This window comes from Homo sapiens, chromosome 5 (genome assembly GCF_000001405.40).
Source record: "Homo sapiens chromosome 5, GRCh38.p14 Primary Assembly".
NCBI classification, from domain to species: domain Eukaryota; kingdom Metazoa; phylum Chordata; class Mammalia; order Primates; family Hominidae; genus Homo; species Homo sapiens.
Window position 1 is genome coordinate 70212519 of NC_000005.10, and position 14798 is coordinate 70227316.

Below are 14798 nucleotides of genomic sequence, written 5' to 3' on the forward strand. Positions count from 1 at the left end.
GATAGGCGGGAAAGAGGGAAAATAAGAATTTTTTTCTAGAGTTCCCTACAGATCTGTGGAACTTTGAACTTGAGAGAGATGATTTAAGGTATCTGACAGAAGAAATTTCTAAGCAGCAAAGCATTCGAGAAGAAGCAGAGCATAAAAGTTCAGAAAATTTGTAGCCTGATGATGCAACAGAAAAGAAAAATCTATTTTCTCAGGAGACTGGGTTGTAGAAATTTGCATAAGTAATGAGGAGCCAAATGTTAATCACCAAGACAATGGGGCAAATGTCTCCAGGGCATGTTAGAGACCCTCACAGCAGACCCTCCCATCACAGGCCAGGAGGCTTAGAAGGAAAAATGGTTTTGTGGGTCCAGAACCCCCTGCTGTGTGCAGCCTAGGAACTTGGGGCCCTGCATCCCAGCTGCTCCTGCCATAGGTAAAAGGGGCCAAGGTACACCTCAGGCCATGGCTTCAGAGGGTGCAAGTTCCAAGCCTTTCAGGTTCTAGGTGGTGTTAAGCCTGCAGATGCACCGAAGTCAAGCATTAACGTTCATGAACCTCTGCCTACATTTCAGAAGATGTATGAAAATGCCTGGAAATCCAGGCAAAAGTTTGCTGTGGGGGGGAGGGGAGGGGAGGGGGGGCCCTCATGGATAACCTCTGCTAGGGCAGTGTCAAAGGGAAATATGGGGTTGGAGCTTCCACACAGAGTCCCCACTGGGGTACTGCCAAGCAGAGCTGTGAGAAAAGGGCCACCATCCTCCAGACCCCAGAATGGTAGATCCACTGACAGCTTGCACTGTGTGCCTGGAAAAGCTGCAGACACTCAATGCAGCCAGAAGGGGGGCTGTACCCTGCAAAGCCACAGGGGCGGGGCTGCCCAAGACCCTGGGAACCCACTTCTTGCATCACCTAGATGTGACACATGGAGTCAAAGGAGGTCATTTTGGAGCTTTAAGATTTGCCTGCTGGGTTTTGGACTTGCATGGGGCCTGTAGCTCTTTCGCTTTGGCCAATTTCTCCCATTTGAAACGAGTGTATCTACCCAATGCCTGTATCCCTGTGTATCTAGAAAATAACTAACTTGCTTTTGATTTTACAGGCTCATAGGTGGAAGGGACTTGCCTTGTCTCAGATGAGACTTTGGACTATGGAATTTTGAGTTAATGCTGAAATAAGAGTTTGGGGGACTTAGGGGAAGGCACGATTGCTTTTGAAATATGAGGACATGAGATTTGGGAGGGGCCGGGGAAGAATTATATGGTTTGGCTCTGTCCGCACCCAAATCTCATCTTGAATTGTAACAATTCCCATGTGTCAAGGGTGGGGCCAGGTGGAGATAACTGAATCATGGAGGCAGTTTCCCCCATGCTGTTCTCATGGTAGTGAATAAGTCTCATGAGGTCTGATGGTTTTATAAATGGATGTTCCCCTGCACATGCTCTCTCCTGCCCACCATGTCTGACTAAATTTTGTATTTTTACTAGAGACGGGCTTTCACTATGTTGGCCAGGCTGGCCTCCAACTCCTGATCTCGTGATCCGTCCACCCCGACCTCCCAAAGTGCTAGGATCATAGGCATAAGCCACCACACCCGGCCTCTTTTTTTTCTTTTTCTTTTTTTTATCTGGAGACTGAGTTTTGCACTCGTTGCCCAGGCTGGAGTGCAATGGTGCGATCTCAGCTCACTGCAGTCTCCACCTCAGCAGGAGAGCAGGAATCTTCAGTGATCCACGGGCAAATATGCAGCCATTGTGGGCACCTGTTCCTCCCGCGACCTTTGTGCCCACGTCTCTCCCTCCAGTACCTACTGCACGACCCCCCACGTCCGCCTCCTGCCATTGCCAGCAGGTGCCTTGCGCCGGTACCTGGCTGCGCTTATTCATCCATTATGGTCGCTCTGTCACTGGTGCCATTATGTGCTCACATGCCCACTCCCTCAGGTTTAGAAGTCGCGTTGCCCGGCAACAGAACAATCTGCTGGCTTAGCCTTTGGCCAAGTTGGCAGCTGGACGAGGACGCTCAGAGCCCAGCTCTTGAGAGTTCAAGTATCCGACAGTTCCCCACTGCTCCCAGGAGCGGTTACCCGGGCACTCTGTGCCCCTCATTCCTGTTTGGGCCAAGGCCGAGGACCTGCGAGTAGGGCTCAGTTGCCTGGAGCCCCTTCAGCCCATCCCCCAGTTCACTTTGCTTGTGGGATCTCCCCGTTGCTCCTGCCCCTGGACTGAGTGGCAGGCCATCCTACAAACACCCGCACACTCGACATCAGTGGTGTCAAGACAACTCTAAGAAGGTTTTCCGTGATCCTGCAAGACCTGTGTTCCATCCTGGTGATTCTGTCTTCAATTTCACTGCACAGGTACCACAGTAAGCCAGTGCTGTGTGCTCCGAGTTCCAGGGCATCCCCCAGCTCAGCCACTACACTGAGCACAAGGACTCTGTGGGGCCCAGGAGCAGGTAGTCACCCCTTTGGGGTCCACAACACCCGGCTGTCCCCAGACTTGTGTCCAGGGAAGATAGTGTTGAGGGCCCTCAAGGAGAGCGGGGCAGGGATGCCTGAGCAGGACAAGGACCCCAGAGTCCAAGAAAATCCTGATGATCAGAGAACGGTCCCCGAGGTCACCGGGGATGCACGGTCTGCATTTTGGCCCCTGCGGGACAATGGAGGCCCCTCTCCCTTTGTGCCCAGGCCCGGGCCTCTGCAGACAGACCTCCACGCCCAGAGCTCAGAAATCAGATATAACCACACATCCCAGACATCCTGGACGAGCTCGAGCACCAAACGAAATGCCATCTCCAGCTCCTACAGCTCCACGGGAGGCTTGCCGGGGCTAAAGCAGAGGAGGGGGCCAGCCTCATCCCGCTGCCAGCTGACCCTCAGTTACTCAAAGACAGTGAGTGAGGACAGGCCTCAGGCTGTCTCTTCGGGTCACACACGGTGTGAAAAGGGGGCAGATACAGCACCAGGGCAGACAATCGCCCCAACGGGTGGCTCCCCCAGATCCCAGGACTCTAGGCCCCGTAGACGCAAGATTCCCCTGCTGCCACGCAGGCGAGGGGAGCCTTTGATGCTGCCACCTCCCTTAGAGCTGGGGTACCGGGTCACGGCTGAAGACCTGCACCTGGAAAAAGAGACGGCATTCCAGCGCATCAACAGTGCACTGCACGTTGAGGACAAGGCCATCCCGGACTGCAGACCCTCACGGCCTTCCCACACTTTGTCCTCACTTGCAACAGGGACTTCGGGTGGGCCTCCCGTTTCTAAAGCACCCACTATGGATGCACAGCAGGACAGACCCAAGTCCCAAGACTGCCTGGGCCTACTGGCCCCCCTAGCATCTGCTGCAGAGGTCTCCTCTACAGCTCCCGTGTCTGGGAAGAAGCACAGACCACCAGGACCCCTGTTCTCCTCCTCAGATCCCCTTCCTGCCACCTCTTCCCACTCCGGGGACTCAGCCCAGGACACCTCGCTGATTCCTGCCCCCTTCACACCTGCAAGCAGGGATGCCGGCATCAGAAGAATGTTTCGTGTTCGAAATTGTTTGAGGGGTTTGGGTTTATTTTTGTTGGTTTTTTCTTTTTTTTTTTTGCTTACGTGGGCATCCTTCAGCTTTTAATAATCTGAAAAATTCTATTTACCCATTGTCAATGTGTATAAATTAATCTCAGTCAATTTTATACAATAAAGGGTGAACTTTTATCCATCAAACAATAATTTAACAAAAAATGTACCGGAAGAAGAATGTTCATTACAAATATAGGAAACATAAATATTACCAAATATTGGCAAGCACTGAAATGTTCAGAAATATAAGTCTATTACAGTTATAGCTCTCTCAAGCAAAAAAACAGCAGAGAAAAACTTAGTTTACCTGAGGGGCTATTTATTTACTTAGGGATTTGTTAAAAGGTCAAATGGGGTCACACAGAATACTAAGAAGAGCTGTTCACCCAGGCCTCACTAAGAACTCTTCTTCATGCAGTAGCTATATAGGAATATGACAACTGCTCCTACGACCCAAAGAGGAACTACAGCAACTACTCTTTAGCATCTGTTGCTCCCAACTCTGCTTTGCAATTATATGACTCAAGCATTCTGGCTCCGTTAACTATTACTGCTGTTACTCCCAAGTAAATTCCCTCTAAAAAATAAAAATTTTTAAAGCTGTAATTTAAGCTCTCTGCTGCCTCATGACTTCAATTCCATCAGAGTTACGCATTGTTTCCTCTGTACATCTTTGCTCTGCTTCCATTGCTAATTCCCTAGTAAAGTGTTGTATATTCAAAGTTCCAAAGAAACAGAATATCCAAGACATCACCAATCATCCAAAACACAGTGTAGGAGGCCACAGTTAAGAGAAGCAAGACCATTAGCTCTTTTTATAGGCTCGAGAACAACAGGATGCTTTGGTCCTGTATCAGCAGGACGCTTTTTGGGTAGATCCTACTGCCACCCTACTATCGGGTAGATCCTACTGTCACCCTAGCTATGGGCACATGTCAGAGTCCCATGTAATAAAGGAGACAAAAGGAAACCACCACGAGTATAAACTAAGAAAAGTACTCCAAGGTTTCTAAGAATGGAGCTGTATAACTCACTTTGCCCCGTTTGTTACTTCTCCACGGTACTTACCACCACCTATTACATATATTTTGTTTATAGTCAGTCTTCCCCCATTAGAATGAAAGTTCCGTGAGGATAGGACTATACAGTCAGCCCTCAGTATCCATGGGGGACTGGTTTCAGGATCTCCTGAGGGTAACAAAGGATACTCAAGTCCCTGATATAAAATGACATAGTATTTGCACATCACCTTTGCACATCCTCCCATATACTTCATATCAACTCTAGATCACTCATAATATCCGATGTAAATGTCATGCAAATAGTTATTGTACTATATTGTGTAAGGAATAAGGACAAGAAAAAAGTCTGTACATGTTCAGTACAGACGCAATTTTTTTTTCCAATATTTCCAATCCTTGGTTGCCTTAACGGATGTAGAACCCAGGAATAAGTTCTGGTGTCCTATTGCATAGTAGGATGAGTATAGTTAACAATAACATATTATATATTTGAAAATAGCCAGAAGAGTAGATTTTGAATTTTCTCCCTACAGAAAAATCATTATGCAAATTACCCTGATTTGATCATTACACATTGAGTACATGTATTAAAACATCACATTCTACCCCATATATATGTACAGTTATTATGTGTCCATAAAAATTTAATGTCAATGTGTGAAATAAAATGAAAAAATAAAAATTTTTAAAGCTGTAATTATCTCCATCTGGTAGGAATATATACAATCTGAAATAAAAAATATATTTGTAATTGTTAGGACAAAATAGATTATACATTAAGTCTGCAAATTATAAATTATAAAATTCTCACAGAACCTGAAAAATTATTGATACTGTTAAATATTTAAAAAGCTGTCCTTGGAGAGAAAGAAACCTATCAGATTTACATCAACAAGTGTAATATGTCAGCCTATTACCATCTGCTACAGACTGCATGTTTGTGTTCCCTCAAAATTCATATGATAGGCCCGGCGCGGTGGCTCATGCCTGTAATCCCAGCACTTTGGGAGGCCGAGGCGGGTGGATCATGAGGTCAGGAGATCGAGATCATCCTGGCTAACATGGTAAAACCCCGTCTCTACTGAAAATACAAAAAATTAGCCGGGCGCAGTGGCGGGCGCCTTAGTCCCAGCTACTGAGGAGGCTGACGCAGGAGAATGGCGTGAACCCAGGAGGCGGAGCTTGTAGAGAGCCGAGATTGTGCCACTGCACTCCAGCCTGGGTGACAGACAGAGCGAGACTCTGTCTCAAAAAAAAAAAAAAAAAAAAAAAAATTCATATGATAAAGCCCTAACCCCCAAGGTGAGGATACTGGGAGGCGTGGCCTTTAGGAGAGAATTAGGTTTAGATGAGGTCATGAGAATAGAGCCCCTATGGTGGCATTACTTCCTTTATAAGAAGAGACACTAGAGCTGCTTTTCTACCTGCCATGTGAGGATACCGAGAGAAGATGGCCATTTCCAATCTAGGAAGCAGGCCCTCTTTAAGAAACATAATTTGCCAACACTTTGATCTTGCACTTCCAGTCTCCAGAACTGTGAGAAATATCTGTTTTTTTTTGTTTGTTTGTTTTTGTTTTTTTTGAGACAGAGTCTCATTCTGTCATCCAGGCTGGAGTACAGTGGTGCGATCATGGCTCACTGCAACCTCCGCCTCCCAGGTTCAAGCAATTCTCCCACCTCAGCCTCCCAAGTAGCTCAGACTACAGGCGTGCACCACCACGCCCAGCTAATTTTCGTAGAGACAAGGTTTTGCCATGCTGCCCAGGCTAGTCTCAAACTCCTGAGCTCAAGTTATCCACCTGCCTCGGCCTCCCAAAGTGTTAGGAATACAGGCATAAGCCACCACGCCTGGTCAAAATATCTACTGTTTAAGCTACCTAATTTATGGTATTCTGTTTTAGCAGCTGAAGCAGACTAAGATACCATCCTATAAGCTACAGACCAGCACTATCCAATAGAACTTTATATGACGAGCAAATGTTTTATATCTGTGCTATCCCTTATGTTAGCCACTAGCCACATGTATCCATCAAGTATTTGAAATATGGCTAGTGCAACTAAAGAACTTAATTTTTAATTTTCTTTTTTTTTTTGAGATGGAGTCTCGCTCTGTCCCCCAGGCTGGAGTGCAGTGGCGCCATCTCGGCTCACTGCAAACTCTGCCTCCCAGGTTCACGCCATTCTCCTGCCTCAGCCTCCTGAGTAGCTGGGACTGCAGGCGCCCGCCACCACGCCCGGCTAATTTTTTGTATTTTTAATAGAGATGGGGGTTCACCGTCTTAGTAAGGATGGTCTCGATCTCCTGACCTAATGATCTGCCCGCCTCGGCCTCCCAAAGTGCTGGGATTACCGGCGTGACCCACCACGCCCGGCCAATTTTTATTTTATCTTATTTAAATAACCACATGTGGCTAGTGGCTAATGTATTGAACACTACAGCTGTAGACAATACGAAATAAATATAAAGCAGTCTCAACTTTGGAAAAACAGAAGACTCTTACTGCCTCATAATATAGATGAAAAATGAAATACTAAGATAAGTAAAACGTTCTTTAAAGAACAAAAACAAAAGAAAACCTAATGAAAGCTATAAAAGTCCATTGGATAATAATGCTACCAGTACTAAGGAAGTACAGCCCCTAAGAGTGACTTGCAGTCACAAATATAAAAATGACTATTCAAGTGAACTCCTAAGGTGAAAATTTCTTATTCACCATGCTCCAAAATGGTCTGTAATATTCTTCAGAGATGGCATGGTGGGGGAGGCAAGTGGCATCTCTGCCCAGAGAGAATACACAAGCAGAAAGTTCAACACCGCTTACCTGGTGAAACCCTACAAGCGTTTCCACTCCATACGCGCTCTGAATAATGGGATTGTGATGTCTTACACCAATTCTCAAACTGGGCGGCCAGCTGCAGCTGAATCAACTCCAGGTGCCCGTAGTTGCGATACCAAGAGTAGTAGCTGTTCACACGGATCACATCCACATACAGAGCCTAGGACCAGAGCAGCAGAGCCCGTTCAGCAACCACAAGACCGCATGACTCAGTACTCACATGCTGTGGGGGCTCCTCTGACAGAGAAGGTAAGAAGGGGATGTAATCCCAGCACTCTGGGAGGCTGAGGCAGGAGGGTGGCTTGTGGCCAGGAGTTCGAGACCAGCCTGGGCAACACAGCAAGACCCCAGCTCTACAAAAAATAGTATCAAGAAAATCAGCACGGCACAGTGGCTCATGCCTGTAATCCCAGCACATTGGGAGGCCAAGGTGGGAGGATCACTTGAGCCCAGGAGTTTGAGACCAGCCTGGGCAACGTCGTAGGACTCCATTTCTACAAAACAAAACAAAAAGCCTAGAACGGGAAGAGCTGCCTCTCGGGGCTGAGAACATCCAACTGCACCAATTTGGATCCTGAAATTACCCTGCCCCACAAGCAAAAAACATGGTCACAAAGTGGCCCAAAGGAGGCAGGCCTGTGATTGCACACTGACGCTCACGACGTGTGCAGCTGGGAAGGGCTGTGAGAGGCAGAGCAGCTGCCAACACGCAGTCCTCAGCCAAAACCCAGGGCCCCCGCCACTGGAACTGACTCCTCTCCAGGCAGCACTCCCAGCACTGGGCATCCCCTCACCTTGCCCTGGAGAAGCCCTCCCACCCAAGGGGCCAATGCAGTCATTCTCGCAGATAATCTTTTTCCGCTTTGTTTGGAAGACAGAGTCTCGCTCTGTTGCCCAGGCTAGAATGGAGTGGCACAATAATGCAAGCTCTGCCTCCCACGATCAAGCGCAGGCGTGGTGGCATGTGCCTGTTATCCCAGCTACTTGGGAGGCTGAGGCAGGAGAATTGCTTGAACCTGGGAGGCGGAGGTTGCACTGAGCTGAGACTGTGCCACTGCACTCCAGCCTGGGCAACAGAGCAAGACTCTATCTTAAAAAAATAATAAAAAATAAAAAAGAATGCTAGTATCAGCCAGGCACGGTGGCTCATGCCTGTAATCCCAGCACTTTAGGAGGCTAAGGCAGGAGGATCACTTGAGCTCAAGAGTTTGAGACTGGCCTGGGCAACATAGTGAGATCCCATCTCTACAAAAACATTTAAAATTAGCCGGGCACAGTGGTGTACCCCCGGAGTCCCAGCTACTTGGAAGGCTGAGGCAAGAGGGTTGCTTAGGCCCAGGAATTCAAGGCTGCAGTGAGCTGTGATCACACCACTGCACTCCAGCCAGAGCAACAGAGTAAGACCTTGCCTTCACACACACACACAAAAAAACAAAAAACTCAGGTTCCAACCCTGGAGTTACTAAATCAGGATCTCAGAACGCAGAGATCTGGCATTTCAATAAAACTTCCCCTGGAGATTCTGATCAGCCAGGTTTGGGCCAGATCAACTCTAAGCTCACTTAAACCTTTGACATTTTATGAGTCTATTAAATCGAGTACAAAAAATGCTGAGTCCAAACCGGGCAAACAAATCCCATCTCCCTATGCCCAGCCTCCTTGGATTCAGAAAGCCACACTGCCTGGAGAGTAAGCAGAGAGAGAATTGTCATTAACCCAAAGACCATCTTTGAAAACAGACTGGCTGCGGCTGAGTGCGGTGGCACACGCCTGTAACCCCAGCCCTTTGGAAGGCCGAGGCAGGAGGATCACTTGAGCCCAGGAGTTCGAGACCAGCCTGGGCAACATGGCAAGACCCTGTCTCTATCTTTCTAAGTAAAACAAAATAAAAAGCTCAGACTGGCAGCACATGGTTCTTTCCAGCTGTTCCCATGAGCAGGCTTCAGGACAAGCCCAGGCAAAGGCAGGGAGAAATGGGGTGGGGACCCCCAGGCTCACCCCCTTGTCTGCTGCGTAGGTGGAGTTGGTCACAAAGGTCACAGGCTGGGAGGGGTCCAAGGCTTTGGTGTGAGCAATCACCATCCTGTCCACAAAAGAGAGAAGACACAGGTTCCGTCAGTCCGGGAAAGGCTCAGACACCCTCCCATCCTCTCCGTCCCATCTTCCCCTGCCAGAACACAACTGGGGGCCAGGCACGATGGCTCACGCCTGTAATCCCAGCACTTCAGGAGGCTGAGGCAGGCAGATCACTGAGGTCAGGGGTTCAAGAACAGCCTGGCCAACATGGCAAAACCCCATTTCTACTAAATATACAAAAATTAGCCAGGCTTAGTGGCACGCATCTGTAACTCCAGCTACTCGGGAGGCTGAAGCACAAGAATTGCTTGAACCCGGGAGGTGGAGGTTGCAGTGAGCCGAAATCACGCTACTGCACTCCAGCCTGGGCCACAGAGCAAGACCCTGCCCCAAAACAAACAAACAAACAAACAAACAAACAAAAAAAAAAAAAGAAAGAAAAGAAAAAAAAAAAAAAAAAACAAAGCACAGAGCCGCTGCTTTCTTCCCTAACTTGAGATGTATTTTACATAAGGGCACGTTCCTCTAGTCCTAGACCGAGCTCTCTAACAACACTCTTTCTCCCCCACCCCTGAATCCAACTCCCCCAGAGGCGTAGCCACCCTGCCGGGTACACAGAGCTGAGGTCACTGGACTGAACACTGCCAGAAATGAGGTTCACTTCCTGAAATAGCTCTTGAACACAGGAGTGAATGGGCTGTGGATTCAGGTGGAATATTTATTAATGCATCAAGCAAACAGGTAGTGCGAGGTGGGAGGTAGGCATGAGGCTGGGTGCTAGGTGCTCAGTAATGACTCAAATCTAAGTCCACAGGTCCTGGGCAGTGGGAGTGGAGATGCATGCACAGAAAAACGGTGCAAGTGCCAGGCGAGGTGGCTCAAGCCTAGAACCCCAGCACTTTGGGAGGCTTACTTGAGACCAGGCGCTTGAGACCAGCCTGGACAACATAGCAAGACCTTGTTTCTACAACAAATTTAAAAATTAGGGCCGGGCATGGTGGCTCAAGCCTGTGAGCACTTTGGGAGGCCAAGGCAGGTGGATCACGAGCTCAAGAGTTCGAGACCAGCCTGGCCAACATGGTGAAACCCCATCTCAACAAAAAATAAAGAAGAAAACTAGCTGGGCATGGTGGCGTGAGCCTGTAATCCCAGCTACTCGGGAGGGTGAGGCAGGAGAACTGTTTGTACCCAGGAGGTAGAGGACGCAGTGAGCCAAGACCGCAACACTGCTCTCCAGCCTGGGAGACAGAGCAAGACTCTGACTCGTGGGGAAAAAAAAATATTAAAATTTAGCCTGGCAAGGCAGCGCACGTCTGTGGTCCCAGCTATTTGGGAGGCTGAGTGGGGAGGATCGCTTAAGCCCAGGAGGTCGAGATGGCAACGAGCTATGATTGCACCACTGCACTCCAGCCTGGGCAACAGAGTGAGACCCTGACTCTGAAAAACAAACAATGAAAGAAATGTTGCGAATGGAAATGACAAGTGGTGGCAGGAATTGGGCACTCTATGAGACAACAGACACATCCCCGATTGGAGAGTCAGGGACAGGCTCTTAGAAGAAATGGCCTTTATGCTGAGTCAAGTTAACCAGGAGGGATGAAGGGAAGAGGCTCCCAACAGAGGGACCAGTCCGTGCTCAGAGCTCCCAGCATCTGCCCAAGGCCTCCACAGAACAGACTGTTGTGTTTTTGTTTTGTTTTGTTTTGTTGAGATACAGAGTCTCATTCTGTAGCCCAGGCTGGAATGCAGTGGCATTATCTCAGCTCATTGCAATCTCTGCCTCCTGGTTCACCTGAGGCGATTCTCCTGCCTCAGCCTACCTGGTAGCTGGCATTACAGACGTCCACCACCATGCCCAGCTAATTTTTGTATTTTTAGTAGAGACAGGATTCACTACCTGTTGACCAGGCTGGTCTCGAACTCCTGACCTCGGGTGATCCACCCACCTCAGCCTCCCAAACTGCTGGGATTACAGGCGTGACCCACCGCATCCGGCCTAGACCGTTGTTGAAGCTGGTTTTCTTCTTCTTTCCTCAGTTCTTTTCTTTTACATCTTCCCCCCATCATTGCTCTGCCCATCCGAAGGCTGTGGCTGGCACAGGACAGAATAGAACCTCCTAGCCTCAAGTTCCAAACCCACACTCTCCAATAGCCAGGCTCTCAGATGGGAAGCTTCAAAGCCTTGTGACAGCCTGGCTGAACCTCTCCAGCCTGGGCCCTCCCTCCATTTCCTGCCCCGGAAACAGGCATCTCCTCTGGCCACCTCCCAAAGCCTGTCTGGAAGCCTCAGGCACCCGCTCCTGGAAGCCTGTACGATTCACAACAAACGGCCTGTCCACCCAGTCGTGCTGAGCACACCCCTATTCCCCCGAGCTCTGAACTGTCCTTTGCCCAGGCTAGGACAACATCTCAGAGCCTTCTGCCTGCTGCAGACTCGGCTCAGCCCAAATCACTCCATGAAATTGGGGTGTGGCATCTGCCTCAAGGAGCATTTCTACAACCTCTGCTGCCTCTACCGCAAATGAAACTGGCTCTCACCCACTGGCTCTCGGTGACGGGCACAGTGCGGAGCCCCACAGGGAGTGTGTAGAAGTCAAAGGCCCCAGTGACTTCTGTGCAGTCAGCCGCACCTACGACAGCCAAAGCGCCAGGTGTGAGCGCCCCGACAGCCTGAGCCCCATCTGGCCTGCCCTACAGCAGGAAGACCCCTCGTGCATGCACCCCAGAAGTCGCCACTGGGCCTGCAGAGAAGCAGCAACCAGAGGCTCTGCCCTTCACTGGCTGACCCTGGGACCTGCCCTTCAAAATCAGGCCTTCTCCTTGACCAGACGAGGTGGCTCATGCCTGGAATCCCTACACTTTGGGAGGCTAAGGCAGGAGGATCACCTGAGTCCAGGAGTTCAAGACCAGCCTGGGCAACCTAGTAAGACCCCAACTCTATAAAAAGGAGTTTTTTTTTTTTTGAGACAGTCTCACTCTGTCACCCAGGATAGAGTGCTGCGGCATGATCTCAATTCACCGCAGCCCCTGCCTCCTGGGTTCAAGCAATTCCCCTGCCTCAGCCTCCCGAGTAGCTGGGATTACAGACGTGCACCATCATGCCCTGCAAATTTTCATATTTTAGTAGAGACGGGGTTTCACCATGTTGGCCAGGCTGGTCTCCAACTCCTGGCCTAAAGTGATCCGCCCGCGTCAGCCTCCCGAAGTGCTGGGATTACAGGTGTGAGCCACCATGCCCGGCCTACAAAAAAAATTTTTTTAATTAGCCAGGCATGGTGGCATGTGCCTGTAGTCCCAGCTACTCAGGAGGCCAAGGTAGGAGGATTGCAGCTCAAAGCTGCAGTGAGCTGTGATCAGGCCATTGCATTCCAGCCTGGGTGACAGAGTGAGACCATCACAAAAACAAATAAATAAATAAATAAATAAATAAATAAATAAATAAATAAATAAAAAATCTGGGCCTCCCACCAAGGGTGGGAAACATCAGAAAGCTCAGAGGACCACACCTGCCCGTTCACCTGTCCTGGGCTCCTGCTGAAGCCAGGGCTACCAGATGGGGGCAAAAGACCTCCCTTACGCAAGTCCCAAACCACCATTACCTCCCACGAGTACAGGTAGGCGGGGTGTTCGTGCATCAGGTACGGCCACCAGAGGTTGGCACCCAGCACCTTCAGCTGGCCCTGGGTCCCAGCCTGGTTGTCCACGACTTTGTTTTCTGCATTCAAAAGACACACTTCCAACTTGAACTGGTTACTGCACTTGACGGAGATCTGGTAATTCACCAGCCCTGCAGGAGGCAAGAGAGACCAGGGCTTAGGGAGGGACATGACCTGGGTCACACAAACGGGAAGGCCCCACAATGACCACTCCCAGGCACTCTCATTTGCTTCTGTTGCTTTTTTTTTTTTTTTTTTTTTTTTTGAGATAGAATCTCGCTCTGTCACCCAGGCTGGAGTGCAGTGGCATGATCTGGACTCACTGAAACCTCTGCCTCCCAGGTTCAAGTGATTCTCCTGCCTCAGCCTCTGGAATAGCTGGGATTACAGGCACCTGCCACCACATCCAGCTAATTTTTGTATTGTTAGTAGAGACGGGGTTTCACCACATTAGCCAGGATGGTCTTGATCTCCTGACCTCGTGATCCGCCTGCCTCGGCCTCCCAAAGTGCTGGGATTACAGGCTTGAGCCACCGTGCCCGGCCCTGAACCAATGCGCCCAGCCCGCTTTTAATTTAATTTTTTAATTTTTTTTTTTTTTTTTTTTTTTTTTTTTTTTTTTTTTGAGATGGAGTCTCACTGTCACCCAGGCTGGAGTGTAGTGCTGCGATCCTGACTCGCTGCAACCTCCACCTCTGGAGTTCAGGTGATTCTCCTGCCTCAGCCTTCCGAGTACCTGGGAATACAGGAATGCACCACCATGCCCGGCGAATTTTTCTATTTTCAGTAGAGACGGAGTTTTGCCATGTTGGCCAGGCTGGTCTCGAACTCCTGAACTCAGGTGATCCACCCGCCTCAGTCTCCCAATAGATTACATATATTATTAATGAATTGCTTCCTTTAACACCCTATTCATTGAATTTTCCAGTAAACCACAATTACTAATTACTCCTGAAATCAGAAAAGAGGTTAAAAAGATTTTATAACAGTATCCTATGAAATCTACTACTTTCAAGTAATAGTAGTTGAATTACCAAAACCCGTCACTCAAGCCAATGACTACAATTAAGATATGAGTAACATTTCCTAGATAAATAAAGTCAATTAATTATATTTGCATCTGGGAAATAGAGAAAGTACATATAAGCCATGATTTTGAAGTCAAAAGAGAGAGAATATTTGCCAAGGAGGGGTGAGTTATAGTATGTAATTATAACATACAGAAGTTTTTTGTATGCTGGTAACTAATTTTAATTTCCTACATTTTTATGTAGATTTCTGCTATTCTTGTCCTATTTTCCTAATCATCTTTCTATATGAATGACTACATAATTCTGAGAATACCAAAAGAGACAGACACAGAACCAATCGGATTCCTTTCTTCTTGAAGCTTCTGCACAGCAAAAGAAACTATCAACAGAGTGAACAGACAACCTACAGAATGGGAGAAAATTTTTGCAACAATGCATGTGACAAAGATCTAATGTCCAACACTGATAAGGAACTTAAACAAATTTACAAGAAAAAAAAAAAATCTCATTAGAAAGTGGGCACAGGACATAAACAGACACTTCAAAAGAAGACACACATGCGGCCAACAAGCATATGAGAAAAAGCTCAATATCACTGATCATTAGAGAAATGCAAATCAA

The 14798-nt window shown here is 48.4% G+C and overlaps 1 protein-coding gene and 2 pseudogenes across 3 annotated transcripts in view; 1 reads left to right on the forward strand and 2 right to left on the reverse strand.

Moving 5' to 3' along the window:
* The window catches only part of GUSBP14 (GUSB pseudogene 14), a 162716-nt pseudogene that overhangs the window by 85057 nt on the left and 62861 nt on the right, over positions 1-14798 (reverse strand). For both annotated transcript variants that reach the window (NR_024054.2, NR_029426.1), the window contains 3 exons: positions 13090-13277; positions 9413-9497; positions 7400-7574 (listed from right to left, as the gene is read on the reverse strand). The product of NR_024054.2 is annotated as a GUSB pseudogene 14, transcript variant 2 (transcript). Of the gene's footprint in view, positions 1-7399; positions 7575-9412; positions 9498-13089; positions 13278-14798 lie in introns of those variants that run through there.
* Positions 1238-5561, forward strand: LOC643367 (POM121 membrane glycoprotein (rat) pseudogene; annotated as a pseudogene).
* On the reverse strand, positions 2422-3551 carry LOC124900998 (uncharacterized). Its single transcript, XM_047417977.1, has one exon. The coding sequence runs from the start codon at positions 3500-3502 to the stop codon at positions 2918-2920; it is 585 nt and encodes a 194-aa protein (XP_047273933.1). The 5' UTR covers positions 3503-3551; the 3' UTR covers positions 2422-2917.

Excerpts from the sequence above, each read along its gene's own strand:
- LOC124900998 (XM_047417977.1), bottom strand. The coding sequence starts at position 3,502 with ATGCCGGCATCCCTGCTTGCAGGTGTGAAGGGGGCAGGAATCAGCGAG.